Here is a 16309-nt window from a genome sequence, read left to right as displayed (position 1 = left end):
GCAATAAACATACGTGTGCATGTGTCTTTATAGCAGCATGATTTATAATCCTTTGGGTTTATACCCAGTAATGGGATTGCTGGGTCAAATGGTATTTCTAGTTCTAGATCCCTGAGGAATCGCCACACTGTCTTCCACAATGGTTGAAATAGTTTACAGTCCCACCAACAGTGTAAAAGTGTTCCTTTTTCTCCACATCCTCTCCAGCACCTGTTGTTTCCTAACTTTTTAATGATTGTCATTCTAACTGGTGTGAGATGGTATCTCATTCTGGTATTGATTTGCATTTTTCTGATGGCCAGTGATGATGAGGATTTTTTCATGTGTCTTTTGGCCGCATAAATGTCTTCTTATGAGAAACGTCTGTTCATATCCTTTGCCCACTTGCTGATGGGGTTGTTTTTTTCTTGTAAATTTGTTTCAGTTTCTTGTAGATTCTGGATATTAACCCTTTGTCAGATAAGTAGATTGCAGAAATTTTCTCCCATTCTGTAGGTTGTGTGTTCACTCTGATGGTAGTTTCTTTTACTGTGCAGAAGCTCTTTAGTTTAATTAGATACCATTTGTCAATTTTGGCTGTTGTTGCCATTGCTTTTGGTGTTTTAGACATGAAGTCCTTGCCCATGCCTATGTCCTGAATGGTATTGCCTAGGTTTTCTTCTAGGGTTTTTATGGCTTTAGGTCTAATATTTAAGTCTTTAATCCATTTGAATTAATTTTTGTATAAGGTGTAAGGAAGGCATCCAGTTTCAGCTTTCTACATATGGCTGGCCAGTTTTCCCAGCACCATTTATTAAATAGGGAATTCTTTCCCCATTGCTTGTTTTTGTCAGGTTTGTCAAAGATCAGATATTTGTAGATGTGTGGTATTATTTCTGAGGGCTCTGTTCTGTTCCATTGGTCTATATCTCTGTTTTGGTACCAGTACCATGCTGTTCTGGTTACTGTAGCCTTGTAGTATAGTTTGAAATCAGGTAGCATGATGCCTCCAGCTTTGTTCTTTTGGCTTAGGATTGTCCTGGCAATGCGGGCTCTTTTTTGGTTCCATATGAACTTTAAAGTAGTTTTTTCCAATTCTGTGAAGAAAGTCTTTGGTAGCTTGATGGGGATGGCATTGAATCTATAAATTACCTTGGCCAGTATGGCCATTTTCATGATATTGATTCTTCCTATCCATGAGCATGGAATGTTCTTCTATTTGTTTGTATCCTCTTTTATTTCATTGAGCAGTGGTTTGCAGTTCTTTTTGAAGAGATGCCTCACATCCCTTGTAAGTTGGATTCCTAGGTATTTTATTCTCTTTGAAGCAATTGTGAATGGGAGCTCACTCGTGATTTGGCTGTTTGTCTGTTATTGGTGTATAAGAATGCTTGTGAATTTTGCACATTGATTTTGTATCCTGAGACTTTTCTGAAGTTGCTTATCAGCTTTATGAGATTTTGGGCTGAGACAATGGGGTTTTCTAGATATATACAATCACGTCATCTGCTAACAGGGACAATTTGACTTCCTCTTTTCCTAATTGAATACCCTTCATTTCTTTCTCCTGCCTGATTGCCCTGGCCAGAACTTCCAACACTATGTTGAATAGGAGTGATGAGAGAGGGCATCCCTGTCTTGTGCCAGTTTTCAAAGGGAATGCTTCCACTTTTTGCCCATTCAGTATGATATTGGCTGTGGGTTTTTCATAAATAGCTCTTATTATTTTGAGATACGTCCCATCAATACCTAATTTATTGAGAGTTTTTAGCATGAAGGGCTATTGAATTTTGTCAAAAGCCTTTCTGCATCTATGGAGATAACCATGTGGTTTTTGTCTTTGGTTCTGTTTATATGCTGGACTACATTTATTGATTTGCATATGTTGAACCAGCCTTGCATCTCAGGGATGAAGCCCACTTGATCATAGTGGATAAGCTTTTTGATGTGCTGCTGGATTCCGTTTGCAGTATTTTATTGAGTATTTTCACATCGATGTCCATCGGGGATATTGGTCTAAAATTCTCTTTTTTTGTTGTGTGTCTGCCAGGCTTTGGTATCAGGATGATGCTGGCCTCATAAAATGAGTTAGGGAGGATTCCCTCTTTTTCTATTGATTGGAATAGTTTCAGAAGGAATGGTACCAGCTCCTCCTTGTACCTCTGGTAGAATTCGCCTGTGAATCCATCTGGTCCTGGACTTTTTTTGGTTGGTAAGCTATTAATTATTGCCTCAATTTCAGAGCCTGTTATTGGTCTATTCAGGGATTTAACTTCTTCCTGGTTTAGTCTTGGGAGAGTGTATGTGTCCAGGAATTTATCCATTTCTTTTAGATTTTCTAGTTGATTTGTGTAGAGGTGTTTATAGTATTTTCTGATGGTAGTTTGTATTTCTGTGGGATCATTGATGATATCCCTTTATCATTTTTTATTGCATCTATTTGATTCTTCTCTCTTTTCTTCTTTATTAGTCTTGCTAGTGGTCTATCAATTTTGTTGATCTTTTCAAAAAAACCAGCTCCTGGATTCATTGATTTTTTGAAGGGTTTTTGTGTCTCTATCTCCTTCAGTTCTGCTCTGATCTTAGCTATGTCTTGCCTTCTGCTAGCTTTTGAATGAGTTTGCTCTTGTTTCTCTTGTTCTTTTAATTGTGATATTAGGGTGTCAATTTTAGATCTTTCCTGCTTTCTCTTATGGGCATTTATTGCTATACATTTCCCTCTACACATGTTTTAAATGTGTCCCAGAGATTCTGGTATGTTGTGTCTTTGTACTTATTGGTTTCAAAGAACATCTTTATTTCTGCCTTCATTTCATTATGTACCCAGTAGTCATGCAGGAGCAGGTTGTTCAGTTTCCATGAAGTTGAGCGGTTTTGAGTGAGTTTCTTAATTCAGAGTTCTAGTTTGATTGCACTGTGGTCTGAGAAACAGTTTGTTATAATTTCTGTTCTTTTACATTTGCTGAGGAGTGCTTTACTTCCAACTCTGTGGTCAATTTTGTATTAAGTGTGATGTGGTGCTGAGAAGAATGTACATTCTGTTGATTTGGGGTGGAGAGTTCTGTCGATGTCTATTAGGTCTGCTTGGTGCAGAGCTGAGTTCAATTTCTGGATATCCTTGTTAACTTTCTGTCTCGTTGATCTGTCTAATGTTGACAGTGGGGTGTTAAAGTCTCCCATTATTATTATGTGGGAGTCTAAGTCTCTTTGTAGATCTCTAAGGACTTGCTTTATGAATCTGGGTGCTCTTTTATTGGGTGCATATATATTTAAGAAAGTTAGCTCTTCTTGTTGAATTGATCCCTTTACCATTATGTAATGGCCTTCTTTGTCCCTTTTGAGTTTTGTTGGTTTAAACTCTTTTTTATCAGACACTAAGGTTGCAACCCCTTCTTTTTTTGTTTTCCATTTGCTTGTTAGATCTTCCTCCATCCCTTTCTTTTGAGCCTATTTGTGTCTCTGTGCATGAGATGGGTCTCCTAAATACAGCACACTGATGGGTCTTGACTCTATCCAATTTGTCAGTCTGTATCTTTTAATTGGAACATTTAGTCTATTTACATTTAAGGTTAATATTGTTATGTGTGAACTTGATCCCGTCATTATGATATTAGCTGGTTATTTTGCTCGTTAGTCAATGCAATTTCTTCCTAGAATCGTTGGTCTTTACAATTTGGCATTTTTTTGCATTGGCTGTTACCGGTTGTTCCTTTCCGTGTTTAGTACTTCCTTCAGGAGCTCTTGTAGGGCAGATCTGGTGGTGACAAAATCTCTCAGTATTTGCTTGTCTGTAAAGGATTTTATTTCTCCTTCACTTATGAAGCTTAGTTTGGCTGGATATGAAATTCTGGGTTGAAAATTCATTTCTTCAAGAATGTTGAATATTGGCCCCCACTCTCTTCTGGCTTGTAGAGTTTCTGCTGAGAGATCAACTGTTAGTCTGATGGGTTTCCCTCTGTGGGTAACCCGACCTTTCTTTCTGGCTGCCCTTACCATTTTTTCCTTCATTTCAATTTTGTTGAATCTGATAATTATGTGTCTTGGAGTTGCTCTTCTCGAGGAGCATCTTTTTGGCATTCTCTGTATTTCCTGAATTTGAATGTTGGCTTGCCTTGCTAGGTTGGGGAAGTTCTCCTGGATAATATCCTGCAGAGTGTTTTCCAACTTGGTTCCATTCTCCCCATCACTTTCAGGTACACCAGTCAGATATAGGTTTGGTCTTTTCACATAGTCCCATATTTCTTGGAGGCTTTGTTCATTTCTTTTATTCTTTTTTCTCTAAACTTCTCTTCTCGCTTCATTTCATTCATTTGATCTTCAATCACTGATACCCTTTCTTCCAGTTGATCTAATCGGCTACTGAGGCTTGTGCCTTCATCAAGTAGTTCTCGTGCCATGGCTTTCAGCTCCATCAGGTCATTTAATGACTTCTCTACACTGGTTATTCTAGTTAGCCATTCATCTAATCTTTTTTTAAGGTTTTTAACTTCTTTGCCATGGGTTCGAACTTCCTCCTTCAGCTTGGAGAAGTTTGATCGTCTGAAGCCTTCTCTCAACTCGTCAAAGTCATTCTCCATCCAGCTTTGTTCCGTTGCTGGCGAGGAGCTGCGTTCCTTTGGAGGGGAAGAGGTGCTCTGATTTTTAGAATTTTCAGCTTTTCTGCTCTGTTTTTTCCCCATCTTTGTGGTTTTATCTACCTTTGGTCTTTGATAATGGTGATGTACAGATGGGGTTTTGGTGTGGATGTCCTTTCTGTTTGTTAGTTTTCCTTCTAACAGTCAGGACCCTCAGCTGCAGGTCTGTTGGAGTTTGCTGGAGGTCCACTCCACACCCTGTTTGCCTGGGTATCAGCAGTGGAGGCTGCAGAACAGTGGATATTGGTGAACAGAAAATGTTTCTGCCTGATCGTTCTTCTGGAAGTTTTGTCTCAGAGGAGAACCCAGCCATGTGAGGTGTCAGTCTGCCCCTACTGGGGGGGACCTCCCAGTTAGGCTACTCGGGTGTCAGGGACCCACTTGAAGAGGCAGTCTGTCCATTCTCAGATCTCAAACTCTGTGCTGGGAGAACCACTACTCTCTTCAAATCTGTCAGACAGGGACATTTAATTCTGCAGAGGTTTCTGCTGCATTTTGTTCGGCTATGCCCTGCCCGCAGAGGTGGAGTCTGCAGAGGCAGACAGGTCTCCTTGAGCTGTGGTGGGCTCCACCCAGTTGGAGCTTCGAGGTCGCTTTGTTTCCCTACTCAAGCCACAGCAATGACGGGCGCCCCTCCTCCAGCCTCTCTGCCACCTTGCAGTTCAATCTCAGACTGCTGTGCTAGCAACAAGTGAGGCTCTGTGAGTGTAGGACCCTCTGAGCCAGGCACAGGACACAATCTCCTGGTGTGCCTTTTGCTAAGACCATTGGAAAAGCACAGTATTAGGGTGAGAGTGACCTGATTTTCCAGTTGCCATCAGTCACCCCTTCCCTTGGCTAGGAAAGGGAATTCCCTAATCCCTTGTGCTTCCCAGGTGAGACGATGCCTCGCCCTGCTTCAGCTCACACTCGGTGGGCTGCCCCCACTGTCCTGCCCCCAGTGTCCAAAAAGCACCTGTGGGATGAACCCAGTACCTCAGTTGGAAATGTAGTAATCACCCGTCTTCTGCATCGCTCACACTGGGAGCTGTAGACTGGAGCTGTTCCTATTCAGCCATCTTGGAACCGCCTCCCATAAATAATCTTTTTCACTCAAACTCATTATTTTCTTTCAAAACATTTTTTATTCATTTTCTTTTATATTTCACTTTGCTCCATTGCCTTAATTTTTCCTTCTATGTCACTATTTTATAAGTGTATTTTTAATCTGTTGCCATTGAAACACTTATTTTTATAATGATATTATTTTTGTCTTTTATGTATATACTGGTGTGCCACATAAATTTTTATTTCTTTCCACTGTCCCACTTTTCCCTGAGTCTTTAATCTGCTATCTTACTGAGGGAAGAGAGAGACCCTCTCATATTGTTTTATGTTGTTTTATACTCAGTATCTGTTTTTCTTTAAAAAAAAAAAAATAACAAGGAAGTGAAATCAAAGACAGGCAGCCCGGCTCCAGGCCCAAAACTGGACCTGGGCCTGCCTGGCCTAAACGTAGTGGTTAAAAATCAACTCATGACTTAGAAACCGATGTTATTCATAGATTTCAGACATTGTATAGAAGAACATTGTGAAACTCCCACCCTGTACTGTTTCTCTCTGACCACTGGTGCATGCAGCCCCTGTCACGTACCCCTTGCTTGCTCAAATCAATCACGACCCTTTCATGTGAAATCTTTAGTGTTGTGAGCCCTTAAAAGGGACATAAATTTTGCACTTGGAGAGCTTGGATTTTAAGGCAGTAGCTTGCTGATGCTCCCAACTGAATAAAGCCCTTCCTTCTACAACTCAGTGTCTGAGAGGTTTTGTCTGTGGCTTGTCCTGCTACATTAGTTCTTAGAGATAATTTGTTTTCCATTTATTTGATATAATACAAACTACAAATTTCACTTAACTACAATTCACTTAACTACATATTTCACTTATTTTATGCTATAATCTCTTTAGGAGGTTTCCAGTATGGTTTGCAAAATATCTTTCATGTGCTAAGCCCATTTTCACATTTTCAATGTATTTGACTAGGGCCCATTATATTTTGCTTTGTGTTTTTTTATTTAAACCTGAAAACTTTTCCTAGGTAAGCTTGTTGCCAAAGTTTGGTGTGTAGTTTAAAGAAGAAAGTAGAATAATGAGTTATGGTAATGAACAGATTAAGGAATAGGCAATTTAAATTTTAATCTGTTGTCGTTTTCTCATGAGCATCTCCCCTATAGTATGATGCCACTCTCAGGTAGCCAGAAGTGTCAAAGCGGGTCCACCTCTGGTTTTTAGGCCTTTTCATTTGCAAAAAGACACACACACTGTTTTAGTTTATTCTCACACGGCTACAGAGAACTGACCAAGACCAGGTAATTTATAAATAAAAGAGATTTAGCTGACTCATGGTTCCACATGGCTGGGGAAGCCTCAGGAAACTTACAATCATGGTAGGAGGCGAAGCAAGGACTTCTTCTTTTTTTTTTTTTTTTGAGATGGAGTCTTGCTCTGTCGCTCAGGCTGGAGTGCAGTGGCACAATCTCAGCTCAGTGCAAGCTCCACCTCTTGGGTTCACACCATTCTCCTGCCTCAGCCTCTCAAGTAGCTGGGACTATAGGCACTCGCCACCATGCCCAGCAAATTTGTTATATTTTTATTGAGATAGGGTTTCACCGTGTTTGTCAGGATGGTCTTGATCTCCTGACCTCGTGATCCTCCTGCCTTGGCCTCCCACAGTGCTGGGATTACAGGCGTGAACCACTGCGCCTGGCCAGCAAGGGCATTCATGTGGCAGCAGGAGAGAGAAGTGCAAGCAGGGGAAATGCCAGACATTTATAAAACCATCATATCTCATGAGAACTCACTCACTATCACCAGAACAGCATGGGGGAACCTGCTCCCATGTTCCAATCACCCACCAGCACCCTCCCTCAACACATGGGGATTATGGATATTACAATTCAAGATGATATTTGAGTGGAAACATATCACACACACACACACACACACACATACACACACACACATTCAGACTAGGTTGAGGGCTTATCTGAATTATTTTTATCTATATTCCAAAAATTTCAGGATAGATCTCACCATCACACAGGAGCCAGAATTTTACACAATATCATCAGAACTTGTTTGAAGTTGGAGGAACCTTGGCCCTGTTTGCCTCTGTGTGCTTTCCATTTTGGGTTGCTCTAGACTTTTATATTCCTCTCATTAAATTTGGCAGACAATGCTAGTTAACTATCTAATATCTGTTTTTCTTCATCTTCTTTCCTAACAGAAGAAGGTTTGATTTAGGACTGCCATGTGCCATAAGGGATGGGTGAAAATATCAGCCAGTTCTTGAAATAAAGTAAAAAAGTTATCTGATGGATGTGATCCAGGAATGATACTTGATATGGTTTGGCTGTGTCCCCACCCAAATCTCATCTCGAATTGTAGCTCTCATAATTCTCACCTGTTATGGGAGGGGCCTGGTGGGAGGTAATCCTGGGGATGGGTCTTTCCCATGCTGTTCTAGTGATAGTAAATAAATTTCACGAGATCTGATGTTTTTATAAAGGACAGTTCCCCTGCACATGGTCTCTTGCCTGCCACTATGTAAGATGTGACTTAGCTCCTCCTTCACCTTCTGCCATGATTGTGAGGCCTCCCCACAAACATGTGGAACTGTGAGTCCATTAAACCTCTTTTTCTTTATAAATTATCCACTCTTGGGTATGTCTTTATTATCAGTGTGAAAACGAACCATTCAGTAAATTAGTGCCAGGGAGTGGGGTTCTGCTGCAAAGATACCTGAAAATGTGGAAGTGACTTTGGAGCTGGGTGACAAGCAGAGATTGGAACAGTTTGGAGGACTCAGAAGAGAATAGAAAGATGTGGGAAAATTTGGAACTTCCTGGAGACTTGTTGAATGTTTTTAACCAAAATGCTGATAGTGATATGGACAATGAAGTCCAGGTTGAGGTGGTCTCAGATGGGGATAAGTAACTTGGTGGGAACTGGAATAAAAGGTGACTCTTGCTGTGTTTTAGCAAAGAGACTGATGACATTTTTCCCCTACCCTAGAGATTTATGGAACTTTGAGCTGGAGAGAGATAATTTAGGGTATCTGGCAGAAGAAATTTCTAAGCAGCAAAGCATTCAAGAGGTGACTTGGGCACTGTCAAAAGCATTCAGTTTTATGTTTTCACAAAGACACATTTTAGAATTGGAACTTATGTTTGAAAGGGAAACAGAATATAAAAGTTCAAAAAATTTGCAGCCTGACAATGCAATAGAAAAGAAAAACTCATTTTCTGAGAACAAATTCAAGAGGGTGCAGAAATTTGAACAAGTAATGAGGAGCCAAATGTTAATCACCAAAACAATGGGGAAAATATCTCCAGGACATGTCAAAGACCTTCACATCAGCCCTTCCCATCATGGGCCTGGAAGCCTAGGAGGAAAAAATGGTTTCATGGGCTGGGCCCAGGGCCCCTCTGGTCTGTGCAGCCTAGGGACTCAGTGCCCTGTGTTCCAGGTGCTCCAGCTGTGGCTAAAAGAAGCCAAGTTACAGCTCAGGCCATAGTTTCAGAGGGTGCAAGCCTCAAGCCTTGGTGGCTTACATGTGGTATTGGGCCTGTGGGTGCACTGAAGTCAAGAATTGAGGTTTGGAAACCTCCACCTAGATTTCAAAGGGTGTATGGAAATGCTTGGATGTTCAGGTAGAGGTGTGCTGCAGGGGCAGAACCCTCATGGAGAACCTCTGCTAGGGCAGTGCAGAAGGGAACTGTGCAGTGGGAGCCCCCACACAGAGTCTGGAGGCACTGCCTAGTAAAGCTGTGTGAAGAGGACCACTGTCTTCCAGACCCCAGAATAGTATATCCACTGACAGCTTGCACTGTGTGCCTGGAAAAGCTGTAGACACTTAACACCAGCACATGAAAGCAGCCAGGGAAAGAGCTTTACCCTGCAAAGCCACAGGAGCAGAGCTGGCCAAGACCATGGGAGCCCAACTACTGCATCAGCGTGACCTGGATGTAAGACATGGAGTCAAAGGAGATCATTTTGGAGCTTTCAGATATGACTGCCCTGCTGGATTTTGGACTTGCATGAGGCCTTTAGCCCTTTTGTTTTGACCAATTTCTCCCATTTGGAAGGGGTGTATTTACCAAACGCCTGTACCCCTATTGTGTCTAGAAAGTAACGAACTTGCTTTTGATTTTACAGGCTCATAGGCAGAAGTGACTGGCCCTGCCTCAGATGAGACATGGACTGTGGGCTTTTGAGTCAATGTTGAAATGAGTTAAGACTTTGAGGGACTGTCAGGAAGGCGTGATTGGTTTTGAAATGTGAGGATATGAGATTTAGGAGGGGGCAGGGGAGGAATAATATGGTTAGGCTGTTTCCCCACCCAAATCTCATCTTAAATTGTAGTTCCCATAATCCCTACATGTCATGGGTATGACCTGGTGGGAGGTAATTGAATCCTGGGGGTTGGCCTTTATCATGCTGTTCTAGTGATATTGAATAAGTCTCATGAGATTCAAAGGTTTTATGAAGGGGAGTTCCCCTACACATGGTCTCTTGCCTGCCACCACATAAGATGTGACTTAGCTTCTCCTTCACTTTCTGTTATACCTGTGAGGCCTCTTCAACTACGTGTAACTGAGTCCATTAAATCTCCTTTTCTTTATAAATTACCCAGTCTCAGGTATGTCTTTATTAGCAGCATAAAAACAGACTAATACAATATTATTTTTCCAAAATAACTGAAATATTGAGCGGGCCAGTGCCATAGCTCCTTAACCTTCAACCTGTTTTTGCCAGCAGGGGAGCAGCCATTTTGTGGGCATGACTGCATAACAGGAAAACAGAGAATGAATACCTGGGTTCCTGTGTCTTTTAATGGCTGTGTCTGCTCTGGCCTTGCTTTCTTCCTTGTTATAGTGGTTACAAGAGAAAAATAAGTCTTGTTTTATTAAGAGTCAGAAGTTGAATATCTGATATGTGGAAATCACAAAAATTCAATCTCACAAATTTTAAAAAAGAGGAAAGAAAAGAAAGGGAAAATATTTCACTTATTAGCTTTTACTTCCAAAATCTCTGAAATTCAGTCTTACTCGTTGTGTTGGGTGACAGTTTCATTCCTAAACAAATAACTATGCATAGGAGATAGGGGTTGGGGGAACCAGACTCTCGTTCTTACCTATGAAACAAAGAGGTAATCACTTTTACCTGGGAAATAGAGAATATAAATGAAAAACAAAGACAGAAAACAAAACAAAACAAAAAGCAGAGTATCATTACAAGGAACAAAGTAAATATATGTTTAGAAAGGCAAAACCACTCCCCAGGGTGAGGATATGTGTGTGTGTGTGTGTGTGTGTATGTGCGTGAGCGTGTGTGTGTGTGTGCGCGTATGTGTTGTCTGTGTGTGTGTGATATAATTAAGTTACTTTACTTAACTTCAGCTGACAAATATTGGCAGCAGCAAGGCTGTTTGCAATCCAAAGTTTCTCCTCTAACCTGTCACACGACAGGGTAGCTTTTGCTGTGATGGAATGTCTGCATAATTTCCAGCTTCTGCTTTAACAGAACTATTGTCAATCAAAGTTCAAGAGGTTACTACAACCAGCTTTTATACTCTGATCTGCTTGTTCAAAATAAGTTGGTTTTACTTTTTGGTCTGTGGCATATAGTTTAGAAAATCTAGTTCCTTATTGCATCTGGCCAAAGTCTGCTATACTCTTTCAACTCATCTATCTGTTCACCTATTGAGGTTGGAAGTATAGGTGCCTCCCTATTCTGGCTAAAATAAAGTTTGTTTTCTTAAGTGTTTTTTTTATTGTTATTTCTACTTATTGTTGTTTTTATTGTTACTGGTTCCAGTTAAGAAATGACAAGATGATTGCCCACCATCTTAAACCAAAGGATATCACATACTACCTATATTCATAAAAATACATACATTACTGCTGAATTTATATTCCAAATTTTGGATTGATTTATACTTAATATAAAAGTATAATTTTCTAAAATATAATGTTTTACCATACCAAATCTATCCTCAAACTATCAAAAGCAATTTTGTTAAAAGATAAAATCCAATATTCTTACCTTGCAATGCATGTATTTATCTAAGTAAATTAAATTACATTGTGTCTCCAGTTATACTCTGTGCTTCTTCAAGTTTATGCATGTGTCCAGGCTGTTTATTTTAATCTAAAATATCATTTTGGTCGATCAACAAAGTGTCAATATATATAGCCTGATATCATGGAAAATCCTCTTCCATTTACTCAACAGCCAAATATTATCATTTTGAATTTTTATGTTATTGTGCCATTTACCATATAATTTTCCATAATTTATGTATTTAAAGAATGCCATTTTTTATGTTGAAGTGTCTTACCTTCTCTACAAGATATTTATGTCTATAGGGAAAGCATCTTTTTATTTCTCATGAATGTTTGCAGGATAGCTTCTGTTCTAGCAGGTCTTCAGCAATTACTTGTTGAATTACATTTTCCAAATTAAGTTTTTTACAAATGTTGTTTTAAACAACTTCTATTTTGGTAGCAGAAAAAGAGAAAAAAACAAAAGGAATGCTGTTGCGCCAAGTAGCAATTTAAATTTCATCACTATAATTACTCTGAGGTTACAGAGACTAAATAAAATTTACCTAGAACAATTAAGAATTAATGTTACTGACATGCACTTGGGAGAGTAAGTAGATGATGATAGAAAATAGAATTTTTTAAATGGAAAGAAAAACCTCTATGACTTCTGTTTGATTCTCTGTCCTAATGACCTGGAACTTAGTCAAGAGTGAGTGATCAGAGCCTTGAAAACACAAAGGTGCAGCATATATGCCTCCATGAGAGAAATAATTTTTGAGCTATGTCTTCAAAATTTAAAACTCCTCCAGACCTCTTTTCCAGGTGCCTTTTCAGCGTTCTACACATTGTCTAAAGATACAGACGTGAAATGTCCACTGTTGTATGAATCTGGTGTCAAAACTAAGCTTATTCTGTTTCACTTGACAGATTGTTTATCCCTTTTCAATTTTCTATCTACCTTCTATTTTCAGACATATGTCCTAGATATCTAGTGCTGTATAGAAAACTCCAAAACTTAGTGGTATAAAACACGTTTTGTGCACAAATCTGTTGTCTGGGCTGGTGCCTGAGAGGGCTAGCTTGTTTCTGCTCTACTCTGTCACCCAGGGCAGCTTGAGGCCAGTGGTCCAGAATCATCTGAAATCTCATTTACTCACATGCTAGTACCTGGATGGAGAAGACTTGTCTGGACACTGGAATGGCTAGGAGTTCTTGGGCATCTCTCTTTATTTCTACTTGGGTTTCCCAGCATAGCAGCTTCAAGGTAGAAGGCATTGTTAAATGAATCCCCAGACTCTAAAGCATGTTTTCCAGGAGATAGAGAGAGTACCAAGAGGAATTTGATATGACTCAGCCTTGAAATTCACACAGTGTAGGTTTGTTCATATTCTGTGCTTTGGAGCAGTCACAAGCCCCTTCCCAAATTCAAAAGGAGAAAATATAGATCTCATTTCTCTCCAAAAGGAAATGCATTATTTGACTGAAAATACTGCTGTTGTCATTGCTGAAAAATCCAATCTGTCCCAGTAAGTCTACTTTTTCTCAGAAATTTGCACAAATGTATAGTTACTTATACTAGCATAACATTCCATAATTATTGATTATCCCTTAACAATTATCCTTTGATAATAAATGTTTTATTTATTTATGTTTTATTATTTTTAGGTACAAAAAGACCAAAAGATTCTATAATATATACCTATCGGATTGGCTCTCAAGGTGTTGATAATATAGTCATCATATTTTCTTCAGAGCTTTTATTTCCTCTCTTTCTCTCTCACTTTCACTCTTTCAGCTCTTCAACCTGTTCGATAAAACGTTATAGAAGAAGTTTCTGGTTTTGTCTTCCCAGTAGGATTATCCCCTCCTCTTTAATCCACCCCAGATTTATTTTCTGTATATGGAGTGATGTAAAAAAGTTGCATTTTTCCGCATGGACAAAAATCATCTCAGCACAATTAATCATATAATCTATCCTATCACTGATATTTTTACCCAGCTTCATTGAGATGTAACTTACATCATAATAAAGTTCATCAATTTTATATGTGCAATGTATGAGTACTGACAAATGCATTTTGTTATGTAACTATAAGAATACTTGTAATACAGACCATGTATATAACCCCCAAAAGTTCCCCTCTGCCACTTTTAGTGATTCCTCTCCTCAACCTCATCCCTGAGAAAGCAGTGACCGGTGTTCTGTTTGTGGTTTTTCTCTCTTTTAGAAATGCACATAAATAAAATAATAAAATGGGTATCATATAGTTCTGCTTCTTATACTTAACATAAATTGGCTGATACCCACCTATCTATATTTTTTCTCTGTACCAGTAGTTCATTCCTTTTTTCAATTGAGTTATTATTGAGTAGTTTTGATTGTATGGATATATAAATATATAAATAATACTTTTAAGCATTGTATATATTATATATTGCTTATATATAATATATAAGCATTATATATTTTTTCAAGCATTTATCAGTTGAACATTTGAGTTATATCCCATTGTTAACTATTATGAATAAAGATGATATTATAAATTGATATGGTTTGGCTGTGTCCCCACCCAAATCCCAACTTGAATAGTATCTCCCAGAATTCCCACATGTTGTGGGAGGGACCCAGGGGGAGGTAATTGAATCAAGTGGGCTGGTCTTTCCCGTGCTATTCTTGTGATTGTGAGCAAGTCTCAAAAGATCTGCTGGGTTTATCAGGGGTTTCTACTTTTGCTTCCTCCTCATTTTCTTTTCTTGCTGCCATGTAAGAAGTGCCTCTTGCCTCCTGCAATGATTCTGAGGCCTCCCCAGACATCTGTAAGTGTAAGTGCAATTAAACTTCTTTTTCTCTCCAGTCTCAGGTTTGTCTTTATTAGCAGCATGGAAATGGACTAATACAGTAAATTGGTACCAGGAGAGTGGGACACTGCTGAAAAAATACGTGAAAATGTAGAAGCAACTTGGGAACTGGGTAACAGGCAGAGTTTGAAACAGTTTGAAGGGCTCAGAAGAAGACAGAAAAATGTGGGAAAGTTTGGAACTTCCTTCAGACTTGTTGAATACCTTTTCCCGAAATGCTGACAGTGATATGGACAATAAAGTCCAGGCTGAGTTGATCTCAGATAGAGATGAGGAACTTGTTGGGAACTGGAGCAAAGGTGACTCTTGTTACGTTTTATCAAAGAGACTGAGAGCATTTTTCCCCTACCCTAGAGATTTGTGGAACTTTGAACTTGAGAAACATGATTTAGCAGAAGATGATCTGGCGGAAGAAATGTCTAAGCAGCCAAGCAATCAGAAGATGACTTAAGTACTGTTAAAAGCATTCAGTTTTATAAGGAGAGCAGAGCACAAAAGTTTGAAAAATTTACATCCTGACTATGCAATAGAAAAGAAAAACCCATTTTCTGGGGAGAAATTCAAGCCGGCTGCAGAAATTTGCATAAGTAGCAAGGAGCCTGTTGTTAATCCCCAAGACCAAGAGCACAACATATCCAGGCCATGTCAGAGACATTCACAGCAGCCCCTCCCATCACAGGCCCCAAGGCCCAGGAAAAAAAGGGTTTCGTGGACCAGGCGCTGAGTCCCTCTGTTGTGTGCAGCCGAGGGACTTGGTGCCCTGTGTCCCAGCTGCTCCAGTCGTGGCTGAAAGAGGCCAATGTACAGCTTGGGCTGTGGCTTTAGAGAGTGGAAGCCCCAAGCCTCGGCAACTTTCACGTGGTATTGAGCATGTGGGTGCACGGAAGTCAAGAACTGAGGTTTGGGAACCTACACCTAGATTTCAGAAGATAGATGGAAACACATGGATGTCCAGCCAAAAGTTTGCTGCAGGGGTGAGTCCTTCATGGAGAACCTCTGCTAGGGTAGTGCAGAAGGGAAATGTGGGGTCAGAGCCCCCACAGGGAGTCCTTACTGAGGCACTGTCTAGTGGAGGGCCACCGTCCTCAGAACCGAGAATAGTAGATCCACTCAGAGCTTGCACCGTGAGCCTGGAAAAGCCACAGACACTCAACACCACATCTTGAAAGCAGCCAGGAGGGAGGTTGTACCCTGCAAAGCCACAGGGGCAGAGCTGCCCAAGACCATGGGAATCCACCCGTTACATCAGCATGACCCAGATGTGAGACCTGGAGTCGAAGGAAATAATTATGGAGCTTTAAAATTTGACTGTCCAACTGGATTTTGGACTTGCATAGGCCCTGCAACCCCTTTGTTTTGGCAATTTCTCCAATTTGGAGTGGCTGTATTTACCCAATACTTGTACCTCCATTGTATATAGAAAGTAACTAGCTTGCTTTTGATTTTACAGGCCCATAGGCAGAAAGGATTTGTATTGTCTCAGGTGAAACTTTGGACTTTGTATTTTTGGGTTAATGCTGAAATGAGTTAAGGCTTTGGGAGACCATTGGGAAGGCATGATTGGTTTTGAAATGTGAGGATGAGAGATTTGGAGGAGCCAGAGGTGGAATTATATGGTTTGGCTGTGTCCCCATCCAAATCTCAACTTGCATTGTATCTCCCAGAATTCCCACGTGTTGTGGGAGGGACCCGGGGGAGGTATTTGAATCATGTGGGCTAGTCTTTCCTGTACTATTCTTGTGATACTGA

General features: G+C 40.1%; 1 annotated feature.

The window, feature by feature from the left end:
• Positions 14948-15448: an enhancer, noted in NCBI's record as "H3K27ac hESC enhancer chr3:86132353-86132853 (GRCh37/hg19 assembly coordinates)". NCBI's record gives its function as "activates a minimal SCP1, AML or CMV promoter by ChIP-STARR-seq in naive H9 embryonic stem cells {active_cell/tissue: H9 hESC(naive)}" and the evidence as "EXISTENCE:reporter gene assay evidence [ECO:0000049][PMID:30033119]".

Source organism: Homo sapiens, chromosome 3 (genome assembly GCF_000001405.40).
Source record: "Homo sapiens chromosome 3, GRCh38.p14 Primary Assembly".
Lineage (NCBI taxonomy): Eukaryota > Metazoa > Chordata > Mammalia > Primates > Hominidae > Homo > Homo sapiens.
Note: the sequence above shows the minus strand (reverse complement) of the source record. Positions and strands in the feature narration are given on the sequence as shown.